Source organism: Homo sapiens, chromosome 11 (assembly GCF_000001405.40).
Source record: "Homo sapiens chromosome 11, GRCh38.p14 Primary Assembly".
Lineage (NCBI taxonomy): Eukaryota > Metazoa > Chordata > Mammalia > Primates > Hominidae > Homo > Homo sapiens.
In genome coordinates, this window is record NC_000011.10 from 59603309 (window position 1) to 59615947 (window position 12639).

The following is a 12639-nucleotide window of genomic DNA, read 5'->3' on the forward strand; positions in this document are numbered from 1 at the left end:
AACGTAAGCTTAAAAATCTATTCCCTGTTACAGAGAAGCTAAAAGGTAAACAGGATATTTACTCCCATGGTTTCAACCACTGCCTATAGGCTAATGGCTACTAAATCACTAATTCTAGCCCAGCACTTACTGAGATTCAGAATAGAATATCCAACTCCCTATTCAACGGCTCAAAGTAACTTCAAAATTAATGCATCCCAAAGTGAACTCATCACCTTCAGTTTTTTTTTTTTTTTTTTTTTTTTTGAGACATGTTCTTGCTCTGTCACCCAGGTTGGAGTGCAGTGGCACAATCATGGCTCACTGCAGCCTCAACCTCACAAGTTCAAGTGATCCTCCTACCTGAGCCTCCCAAGTAGCTGGGACTACAGGCATGAGCCACAATGCCCAGCTAATTTTTGTAGTTAATATAGAGGTGGGATTCTGCCATGTTGCTCAGGCTAATCTTTCAACTCCCAGGCTCAAGTGATCCACACCTGGGACTACAGGTGTGAGGCACCACACCCAGCCTCATCAGTTTCCTATGTTGTCTCTGCTTTTCCCTTTGATGTTCCCCAATCCAACTTTCAGGGCCCTCCCAGTTGTCCAAGCCAGAAAATTAAGGGGCATCCTTCTCTTACTTTTGCTTCCTTCCTCACAGCCAGTTATCAAGTCCTATTGATTCTTCTTTAATATTTTAAAAATCTGTACATGTCTTTCCATCCTCCTTACTCAGAAACAGTACAGAGTGCATACTCTGGAGTTGGACCGGTAGGGCTCAAATCACAGATCCATCCCACTATCTAGCTGTACAAATAAGGGTAAGTTATTTAACCTCTCTGTGCCTCATCTTCCTTTTCCATAAACAAATAGTAACAATAGAGTAACTACCTCAAAGAGTCGTTGTTTTACATGTAAGCACTTAGAACCACATTAGGCTCACAATAAACATTCAATAAGGTGTTAGTTATTATAATTATAAGCTGGGCATGGTAGCTCACGTATGTAAAACACTTTGGAAGGCCAAGACAGAAGGAGTACCTGAGACCAGGAGTTTAAGATCAGCCTGGACAACATACAAGACCCCATCTCTATATAAAAATTAAAAAAAGATATAAAAATTTAAAAAAGAGGCTGGGTATAGTGGCTTACACCTTTAATCCCAGCACTTTGGGAGGCCGAGGCAGGCAAATCACCTGAGGTTAGGTGTCCGAGACCAGCCTGGCCAACATAGTGAAACCCCATCTCTACTAAAAATACAAAAATTAGCCAGGCATGGTGATGTGCGCCTGTAGTCCCAGCTACTTGGGAGGATGAGGTAGAAGAATTGCTTGAACCCAAGAGGCGGAGGTTACAGTGAACCAAGATTGTGCACTGCACTCCAGCCTGGGTGACAAAGCAAGACTCTGTCTCAAAAAAAAAGTTGAGTGTAGCAGCTCTGCCTGTAGTCCCAGCTACTCAGAAGGCTGAGGAGTGAGACTCACTTGAGCCTGGGTGCTCAAGGCTGCAGTGAGCTATGATGGTGCCACTGCACTCCAGCCTGGGTGAGAGAGCAATACTCTGTCTCTAAAAAAAAAAGAAAAAGGCCGAGCACAGTGGCTCATGTCTGTAATCCCAGCACTTTGGGAGGCCTAGGCAGGTGGATCACAAGGTCAGGAGTTCAAGACCAGCCTGGCCAAGATGGTGAAACCCCATCTCCACTAAAAACACAAAAAATTAGTCGGGTGTGGTAGTGTGCGCCTGTAGTCCCAGCTACTTGGGAGGCTGAGGCAGAAGAACTGCTTGAACCCGGGAGGCGGAGGTTACAGTGAGCTGAGATCACACTATTGCACTCCAGCCTGGGTGACAAAGCGAGACTCTGTCTCAAAAAAAAAGAAAAAAATTATGACTGCATCCAAATTGGTCTCATCTTCTAATCCACTACTACCAAGCTTAGTTGGTATGATCTGCAGCCCTTTCTCTCCCCCACAATTAACTCCTCCCAAGCCTCATGCTAGCTGCTTCCTTGCTCGACTAACAGTCAATTACCAGCAGTTCCCAGACTTTGGGGAAAGGGATAGATCTGAATATCCCATACCACTACCTGGATCAAAGCTTCTCCCTCATTCCCTTTTATTTCATTTATTTATTTATTTATTTTTGAGACAGAGTCTCGCTCTGTCACCCAGGCTACAGAGTGCAGTGCTACGATCTCAGCTCACTGCAACCTCCGCCTCCTGGGTTCAAGTGATTCTCATGCCTCAGTCACCATGTCTGGCTAATTTTTTTATTTCTTTTAGTAGAGATGGGGGTTTCACCATGTTGGCCAGGCTGGTCTCGAACTCCTGACCTCAGGTGATCCACTCGACTCGGCCTCACAAAGTGCTGGGATTACAGGTGTGAGGCACCATGCCTGGCCTCATTCCCTTTTAGTAATACTGACTGTAATTAAAATTTGCCAGAGACAATCATATGTCAGGCACTTTGCCGAGCACTTCACATCAATTATCTGACAAAAGCCTTTCAACAAGCCTTTGAAGTATCTGCTAGTATCATTACCATTTACAGATAAGGAATTGATGTCACAGAGGATGCAGGTTGCCCCAAGTTATACACATAGGTCATAGAGGCAGTTGGACGGGATGCAGGTTGCCTCAAGTTACAGAGATAGGTCATGAAGGCAGTTGGACTCCAGGCCCCAAGCTCTAGCTTGCCTTTCTTCATAGGAAGACTCTCACTGCTCCTTCAGAATTTAGTTGAGGAAATTAGAGAAATTTCCTAGTCTGAGCCAAATACTTCCAAAGTGCTATACCATAGCAGCCTGTGCTCATTTCTATCAAGTCACTCAACATAGTCCATAATGATCCCTTTAATTCTCCATCCCTCACTAAATAGTGATCTTCCTGAGGACACGGACCATATCTGCCCTCAGCAATATCCACTAGCACAGTTCGTGGAACACAGCTCATGCTCAATAGATGGCAGATGAATATACTAAAAGTGTCAAATTTAATTCTCTGATCAGATTCACTTTGACAGTTAGAAAAGCTCTATCCTAAGCAGTCAAGAAACTGAAACGGCCATAAAAAAAAAACAATATCATGTCCTTTGCAGCAACATGAATGCAACTGGAGGCCAATATCCTAACTGAATTAATGCAGACACAGAAAAAAAAAAAAAACACATCTTCTCACTTATAAGTGGGAGCTAAACATTGGGTACACACCAACACAAAGACAGAAACAATAAACACTAGGGATTCCAAAAGTGGGGAGGAAGAGAACCAAAGGTTGAAAAACTACCTGTTGCGTACTACGTTCACTACTTGGGCAATGGGATAATTAGAAGCCCAAACCTCAGCATCACGCAATATACCTATGTAACAAACCTGCACACGTGCCCCTTGAATCAAAAATTAAATTAATTTTTAAAGAAGTAATTGAGTGAAACATATTCTTCCTTTGATATAACTTTGCCCGTTTAGAGCTGTGATGCTCTAGCATGTTAATTTTTAACACGTGTATTATACTTAAGGCCTTGCTAGTATCATACTAAAAGGTACAAAGGAAACAACACAGGGATAAAAAATGTATTTTAAGCAATAACTGGCTAGGAAAAGGGCACAGGCAGTGCAGCAAGAGAGTAAAGAATGAAAACAGAACTCATCTCTGACTTCCAAGAGATCATTCCCTTTAACACAAACTCTGGACACTTAGAACTTAGGGAAGAATTTCCCCAAGGAACAAAGATGAGTACATTTTCAAGAGAAAAATTGAAACTAAAGGTTTAGGTTTATAAAGGGATGCTTTACTTAGCAAAATTTTTACATCAAGGTAAAAAAAAAATTATGGATTGGGGTGTTCCTCTGATTTGGATAAAAGGTGGCATTCACTCTCAGGAGACCATTGTGCCGAGTTGTTTTATTTAAAAAGTATACGTATTTACTATTTAATTGACTGTATGACTTAATGAGGTTTTCCTGATCACAAGGGGACTGGAAAACCAGGCACACAGTCTCCAGGAATACACGACCAGACATCAGAAACACAAGCACCCTGACTGGCTGACTGGTCAGTCCTAGGAGATAATCTTCCTGCAGTCCCTAAGTGGAGAATGTAATTTGTCTTTTTACTTTGTGTGAATCACAGCACTGAAGATAGTGTTAAACATATCAGAAAAATGATGTTAAAATAAAGGTTATCCAACTATCTATTAAGTAAGAAAGGGGTTAAATGAGAAAAACGATACTTTCCCATGGTCATGGGAAAGTCTGGCACTAGAGAGGTAATTTCATCCCATTTAATTAGGAAAAAAAAAATCTACCCTACATAATTTCTCACAGAGTACTCTTCTCACTTATGAAATGCCTTTGAATGTTTTTATGCAGAAGGTAACTAAAACAACCTGCCAGGCAAGAATCAGTAGAGGAAAAGCAGCACTGTTTAAACCATGTATTCACTTCATACGTATCAATACATCGGTAATGCCATGGGTGCTCTGTTTACTCAGAGTCTTGCACCCAAGCAGCTAAAATGTTCTGCAAACCAACAACAGCCACCCAAGTTAGGAGTCATAAGGAGGCTGAAGTTTTACCACTCTTTTTAAAGAAAAGTGCCCAAAGTTGAATATTTTGTCTTATCATCGAAATTATCCTCGAATTCAAGGACTAAAGATGGGAATAACTAGTACTATAAGGTTCTCACTAGTACCTGATCTAGCCTCCACTTACCACCCTTTATGCCTGAATGCGTTAGTAAAGTAAGGAGATGACTCCAACTCAAAGCTCAAAGAACATGACAATGGAAGGGACTCAGGGAGATCTTTTAGTTCCAACAGATGAAATGAGACAAAAATAAATAAATACATACATACATACATACATACATACATAAAATCACGACCTAGAGAAATTAAGGGACTCAGCTAATACTGATCAGATGTCCTAGTGGTTGCAGAGCAGTCAGTGAAGGAACCCTGGACTCCTGATTCCCAGCTGCAGCAAAGACCTCCTGATCACTTAAGCAGAGCATGAAAGTCATTCAATCTGTACAGCCTGTTCTATTTCATGCAGTAAACAATGTAACTTAAAGCCCTTGACCAGTGAAGCAGGCCCTAATGTTCTGTGCTTTATCAATTACAATTTTTAGGCATTTGGGGAGAATTATGTTTCAAAGAGGGAATGAATCAAAAAGCAACACAGACACCATCTGCACTCACGTTGATCATGGCATTGGATGTTATCCTAAAGAGTGTGGCTCGTTCGTTGACCTGTTTGATCTTTTCATTGCTCTCAGCAGGCAACTTCAGGGACTCCAGCTCACTGAGAGAACGCTGCAGAGCTGTGCCATGCTTAGCTATCAAGTCATTGCACGTGCTCAAGTCCTCTACTTTGCTAGAGAGGGTCCGAAGGGTATTCTGCAGCTCAGTCTTGTCAGTTTGTGAGACAGACTCTTCATCTCCTGATTCATCTGTAGGAATGAAAAGAAAGGTTATATGATTCCAGAACCAGGAGTGACAGTTGGAACCCTACCTACTCTGTCCAGAAACAAACCAACATTCCTCATGCTGTGTGCATTCTGACTCACTGAAAACTTGCCATTACCAGATGGTTTCTCTATAGTGTGGTCCACAGATCACCTGCACCACAAACACCCCAGGTCCTTCTCAAAGGGGCAGAGTCTCTAGGCCCACCCCTAGAGACTTCAATTTAGCTGGTGTGAGGCAAAGCCCAGGAATCTGCCTTTCTAATAAGCTGCCCAGGTAACTGACACACACTGAAGTTTGAAAACCACTGACCTACAATACAGAATGGAAAAGCTGAAAGGCTCTTGGAATTGGGAATTAATTACTGAGCTCCTTAACTCTAGCTTGATGATTCCTATCTAGTCCAAGCTAACTATTTTTGCAACTCCACTATCATCTGATAGGTGACTGATGGGACCTGTATTAAATGAGTTGAGAATCACAGTCTAGCTCTTTGTAGACAAAGTCCACATTACAAAAAAGGCCATTAATTTGTCTTCTGAAAGAGAGCTCAGAAACTTTATGACTAAAGCCACCATGAAAAGAATGCAAAAACTCACTTTAAATAGCTCTCCAATAATAAGTCAAGTACAGAAGCTATGTTGTACCTCTCACACTCAACACTTTGTAACTGCAAAGTGCTTTTCTAGCAGTGTCACTTCCTTTGGAGGAGCTAACATCGGCACTAAAAGCAAGAAAAAAAAAAAAAAAGACAAAAGACCTGTCCTTTCTGCTAGACAGAGAGACGGGGCCAAAGTCAAAATATAACTTACTACCAAACAATTTACAAACCAGTGAATTCTCCTTTCACTGATGAATGAACATACAGTATGGGAAATGACAGGGGATAAGATAACAAAGTCAGCAGATGACCATCTTGGTCAGTTCTAGGTAAACAAGCTCAGTATGATTAAACTATCAATATATCAGGAGAAAATCGTACCATTTTCCTTGAAGAATAATCAAAACTTAACTTGATTGCTCCTTTTAGTTAACCAATGCAGCAAAATGAAGATTTTTCATAGAAAATATCACATATACAGTTTTTGGCAGTCTACTAAAATTGTTTCAACTTAACTAACAAAGAGTTAAGTAAGAAGGTATCAGGAGAAAAAGCACGAATAGATCCAAATTCTGAGGAATAATATTCCCAAGACTGGCCCACCAATAAAATAATTATTTCTCAAAATTTTAAGGTAGCCAATTAAAAGGCAAAAGAACAACTGTTACGCCTCTAGGACAGAATTTTTCAACCTTGGCCAGATAATTCTTTGTTTTGGCGGCTGTTTGGTATATTATAGGAGGTTCAGCAGCATCCCAGGCCTCTACTCTCTAGATGCCATAGCACCTCCCTCCCTTCAGCTGTGACAACCAAAAATGTCTCCAGACATTGCCAAATGTCCCCTGGGGAGGAGAATCAACCCTGGTTGAGAACCATCACTCCAGCAGAAATACTGCATGAAGACGAGAAGCTTGAGACCTCTAGGAAATAGGTGATAATCAAATGACACAGCATAATGATGACAAACAAAATCTGTGCATAAAAGGGGCAAAAAGAAAGTTCCCCAGGCAGGTGTTCTTTGTTCCTGACCTGACTCTGCCAGCATCTTCACAGCTTTGGCCTTGGCCAGTTCCAGGGCCGTCACCCAGCGCTGCCGCTCAACTTCTGAACTAGCTTTCAGATGGTAGGTCTGAGCACCCCCATTGGAAATGATGAAGTTGCAGGAGTCCTCCACGGTGATGTTGGCTGTGGCGAGGTTGATGGTACCACGGCAGGTATGTCTCATTTCTGCCTTTGATCTGTAATAACAAGACAAAGACAATTTAAACAGAAAGTTGACGGTTTATCCTTTATCACATTCCATTTCTTTTCATAACTCTGAGCTCCCTGAAAATATGACAGTCTTAGGAATCAGCAAGTTCTAGTCCCTCAAACGGGTCCCTAAAATTCACGAAACAATTAGTGGGGATTTCCCTTCAGAGCCTATAAGTGTTGTTTCTGAGTCAGATTTTTTTTTTTTTTTTTTGCTTTGCTGTCCCTCTTACCATTTTCCTTTTAGAAATAGGCTTTACAGGCCGGGCACCCGTAATCCCAGCACTTTGGGAGGCCAAGGTGGGCAGATCACCTGAGGTCAGGAGTTCCAGACCGGCCTGGCTAACATGGTGAAACCCTGTTTCTACTAAAAATCAAAAAAATTAGCCAGGCGTGCGGGTGTGTGCCTGTAATTCCAGCTACTCAGGAGGCTGAGGCAGGAGAATCGCTTGAACTTGAGAGGCGGAGTTTGCAGTGAGCTGAGATCCCACTATTGCACTCCAGCTTGGGCAACAAGAGCGAAACTCCGTCTCAAAAAAAAAAAAAAAAAAGAAAGAAAGAAAGAAAGAAAGAAATAGGCTATACTGAGGTATAACTACATGCAATGTTAATTTAGCAATTTTAAAGGTACAACTGAATGAGTTTTGACAAATGTACACAAGTGCATAACCACCACCACAATCAAGATGTAGAACATTTCTATCATCTCAGTAAGTTCCTTCATGCCCTTTTGCAGTCAGGAATTATCTTTTACTTAGCAAGTTGTAATTATAAATTGCCCTATAACCTCATGCAACAATCTCATTTCCTAAGAATAGCTCTATTTTATATATACCAAACCATCTCGCTCCCGACTGTAACTCAGCCCAAATGAGAACTCAGCCCAATGTTACATCATGCTTAGAGTTATATCGCAGAAGTGTAAAAAAAGCACCCTTAAATGTTTAGAGTATTAAATATTGGCTATGGTTCAAATGATATGAAATAAGAATAACTAGCTTTCTGGGGAAGTAAAAAGGAATCACCAAGTGTTTTAATCTTTCTGGAATATGTTCATTCCTAAGGTCCACCATACTCTACTGGTGGGAACTCCTAAGCCGTCTATTAATAGCTAGGAAAGATTCAGCAGATCTGCTCTCAGAGAACTGGGTGTAAAAATTTTCCCGATCTCTAGTGACTGACAGTTCTATTAATAGACTAACTTTTGAACTTTACAGCATTACTTGGTGACAACAAGCTATAAGACACTTCACATAGAATACCAAGCTTCACATAAAATATCAAGCTTCTAGCACAATCGAGTGTCTAACACAAACTGTGTCATTTCCCTACCACCCGCTGGTTATGCCCAGGAACCTGCATGTTGAGACTGCACTTTTCCCTGTCCAAATTGGAACACAGAGGTCAAAGTCCTTTGCCAACTGCCACAGTACAAAGCAGAGCCATTTCCCTTTCAGTGGAGTCAAGCAGCCAAACACACCTGGCATATCCAGAATTCCTGCATGCCAGAAATGGCACACACCCCATAAGATTTGGTATGTTTGAGAAAGTCTGGAAGACAGGTTTGTTGTTCAATTTTTCACATGAACTGCTCTTCCTTCCTCAAATAGTATGGGAAGGCCAGAAGGGTCTCAATGAACTGGGCCATTTTCCATCTCCTGCACCTGCCACACTGTAACATGAATCCGTTTTTTCTATTCTTACCTCCCCACCCCCAAGCTTCAGTTACATTATGAATAATGCAGGCTGAATTACAGATGCACAGCTGACAGGCCAGCTCGCTCATGTTTTCTACTCCAAGTATACTACTTGGACCTTCCTCCACATTCCTCCTTATTGGAGCTTTTTGGAAACCACTTCTTAGGAATCTCTTCTGCCTGGGTCATCATTGTAGGAATCTCTTCTGCCTGGGTCATCATTGTAAACTAAAGAAGTTTCTCAAATTACAAAAAGTCTGTAGCAGTTTAAAAAATACCAAGGAACTCTGGGAGTAAGGCAGACTTGATCTCGGAGCTCTTGAGTCTGGGCAGATACACTTATGATTATAAATGATTAGTGCAGAAGCTGGAAAGACATGAATCTCAGGGTACAAGATAGGTTCTTCAGGCACTACAATATTAGGTGGTATTTTCTGGCCAGAAAGTTCTTCCCTGAAAAGGCTAGCTGAAATAGTAATTCAATCTCTAGAAGCTAGCCAGGAGAACTAATACTATGGCCTGTCACAATGTTTCTGGGAGAGTTGGGATTCCATATAAGGTTTTAAGTAATGGGACATCTAAGTAACTGGGTACGTAAGGAAGCCCAGGATAGGTAAAGGAAGTGGTTTGCCAAGGCCTATTAGGACAGCTCATCCGAGGATGGGTCTAGGAAGTACACAATCCCACTTAAAAGGAAAACAGTATTTTGGAAACAGCATATATAAGAAACTGCAGGTTTTGGAGGTATGAAAAGCAGGAGGAATGACAACTTGTCTAAATAATTCTTGGAGGAAGATGAGGACCAGAAGAATCCTGCAGGAAAAAATAAACTGCCAGTATACTTGATAGGAGGTATTTCAGTGCAATTTTGAGGGTAGTGCACAGATTGATAACTCTGGATCCCGCTGGTTTGTTTATGGGTGGGACCACCTAAGTTGACTAGGGCAGGCCTATGGCATATTTCCCAATATGTGGTTTGGTATGTTTTGGAAGGAGTTTTATATGTAGTCAGACAGGTACCACTAGCTCTTGTAAGGGAGAAGTTAAAAGTGGTAACAAATACTTAAAGAGACAGCAACATGTAAGTTATTAGTGTCTAAGATCACTATTGATCAACACTAGTACTGATCAAAGAATCAACTGGCCTGGAAAGTGGATCCGGTAAGAACTTGGATGAGAAATGACCACATACGAAGGCCCTGAGGTGATATACAATTTTTGAAAATGCAAAAACAGTATTAATATTGACTTGCGACACAAGTCAGGATATAAATCAATTAAACATTAAAATGATGGTCAATAATAACAGGAAAACATGAACTTGAATGAGAGAAAAATCTGGGGAAATTAAAATTTTAGATTTGTAATCTAAGTTTAAATGGATGGTCCTGGATAAGTAGTTCGAAAGGGTCATAATTAAAATCAATTCTGAATACAGTAATGCAAATGAAATATACAATTATTCACAACTGTTGATTAAGCAGTGAGGATGAGCTATCTAAGGCATTTTGCCCTGTAAGAGGACAGGTAAAAATGTGTTCCTGCCAACAACCTCCAACTCCCACCTTCAATTTCTCCTCAAAATTCTCTAAGAGCCAATACAGTGGAGTTGATGGAAAAGAGACTTGTTCAGCCTAACTCTCTGGGTAGCAGAATGATTCCTGGTGAAGGAAAAGAAATATAGAGTGAGCTGCTCTTCAACATCAGTGTTTTGGGTCTCAAAGAGGATGGTCTCTGGAAAAAAATATTTCAATTGGAATGTCATTAAGCAAAATATCCCTTAAAGGAGACTTTTATACTTTTTGCATAAAATACACATAGTAAGCATGATCCATAAAATTACTTGCTATTGATAAGCAATTATCTCTGTAACTGACCGATTCATTTCACACTAACCTGAGTTTTAGGTTAGATTAGTGTGAACAGAAGTAGTTTCAAATCCCAGCTGCTCAAAAACCTTGGGAAAGTTGCCCATGCTAAGTCTGTTTTCCTCATCAGTAAGATGGGAATATTTCCCAACTCCTAGGGTTGTTGTTGGGAGTCAACAAAATACTATAATGAAATACTGTATATAAAACACCTAGACACATTGTCCAGCCCTCAGGAAATGTTTACGCCCTGTCCCCAAATCACCTATCTTAACTCCTCTATCCTTTTTAGCCCAAAAGCGTGCCATGTGATGGCCAGGTTATGAGTCACCATAAATATATATTAAACAGTCCAAAATAAACCTTGTTGAACAGAAGTAATCACACCAAAGACATGGATTCTTCTTTTAATAAAAGTTAATCCTAACTAACCAAAAAATCACAGAAATGCCAGATAAAACACTTAATCATTTCCACGGGAGGAGGTGGGGCAAGCAAAAATAAAAGCAGCACTGGGGTGCACATCTCCATTCTGGGCTGTCCAGAGGCCAAAGCACATGCAAAGTCTTGGAGAGATAAGGCAGAAAGGGGACGGAATACCGAAGCCACCCTGTGTGTGTGATGCCCTTATGTCTGAATGTGAAGGGAGCAAGGACGGGTACATCCAGAGCTACGAATAACCTTGAGTTTTGGAGACTGGGCACTGACAGCTACAACTTGGGACTTCCACTGTAAGTTCCTTGGGAGGAGTGCCTCGGGTTTGTTCTGCTGCATGTGTTCCCTTAGTACCTACACCAGTGCCTTGCTTGCAGAATTAATAATTGCACCCATGTGCTGGTGGAAATACAATGGAAGCACAGACGCTCTCCAAACGACTAATGACTGGAAAGGCCGGGAGCGAAGGGAAGATAAGGCACCAAGAGTGGGTAACCCGAGGGGAGGGGAGGTGTACGTCCAGGGGCTTTTCACTTTCGTGACAGTGGGCTCCGACCCCTGGGCTGTCAATCCGCACAGATGACGAAAAGGGGCCTGGGGCAACCCTGGCTGCGGTGCCGGCTGGCGGTAATGCCGGAGCTGGGACTGTTGGCAGATATGGGGGAGGCAAGGTGAGCGACAGCGCCCCGGAAGCAGTTACCTGTAGTAGCTCAGGAGCCCGTTGCTCAGCACGAACCATCGCCGCTGGTAGCCTTTGATATAATTGGTCCATTTGAAGAGCCAGCCCTCTCGAGCCGAGCCCGAACCCCCAGCGCCCGAGCCGCCCGAGCCCCCAGTCGGCGGCGCAGGGGCCGGGCCAGCCGCCGCCACTCCCCCGGCCCCCGGGCCCGGGCCTCCCGCCGCCGCCGCGACCACCGTCCCTGACGCGGCCCCGGAGCCTGGCCCCGCATCTCCGCGGCCGCCGCCTCCTCCCACCACTGGGGGACCGGCGCCGCCGCCGCCAAGTGCTGCAATGGCTGCCGGGCCTGGCCCCACCACTCCTCTCAGCTCCGTCGCCGCCATGAGCCGCCGCCGCCTGGAGATACAAGACCGGAACCGCCTACGAGAGCCGCCGTCGCCGCCCGGAGCGCCCCACACGGCTACCGCATCAGCCACCGCCGCGCAGCGTCCCCGCCCCGCCCGGCCAGCCGCGGGGAGGAGGGCTCGGCCGCCGGGAAGAAGGACGTCGATTGGTGCCGCTGAGTGTCACTTGAGGAAGACCCCGCGGATATTGGCATTTCTCTCGGGCCTGTCATTCTACAGCGCCCAGTGAGAGCCTGGGGTGGGACGCGTCCGCCAGACCCAC

At 43.3% G+C, this 12639-nt stretch overlaps 1 protein-coding gene across 1 annotated transcript in view, besides 2 other annotated features; it reads right to left on the reverse strand.

Annotated features, from left to right (window-relative positions):
* Positions 1–12466, reverse strand: part of OSBP (oxysterol binding protein) — a 41377-nt gene extending 28911 nt beyond the window's left edge. Inside the window, exons 1-3 of the mRNA NM_002556.3 lie at positions 11995–12466; positions 7073–7281; positions 5176–5426 (exon numbers count right to left, since the gene is read on the reverse strand). Of these exons, the coding sequence (NP_002547.1) occupies positions 5176–5426; positions 7073–7281; positions 11995–12356 (822 nt within the window). The 5' untranslated portion in view covers positions 12357–12466. The remainder of the gene's footprint in view (positions 1–5175; positions 5427–7072; positions 7282–11994) is intronic.
* Positions 12099–12318: a silencer, noted in NCBI's record as "silent region_3366". NCBI's record gives its function as "represses an Ori minimal core promoter by ATAC-STARR-seq in GM12878 lymphoblastoid cells {active_cell/tissue: GM12878}" and the evidence as "EXISTENCE:reporter gene assay evidence [ECO:0000049][PMID:35858748]".
* Positions 12339–12638: a silencer, noted in NCBI's record as "silent region_3367". NCBI's record gives its function as "represses an Ori minimal core promoter by ATAC-STARR-seq in GM12878 lymphoblastoid cells {active_cell/tissue: GM12878}" and the evidence as "EXISTENCE:reporter gene assay evidence [ECO:0000049][PMID:35858748]".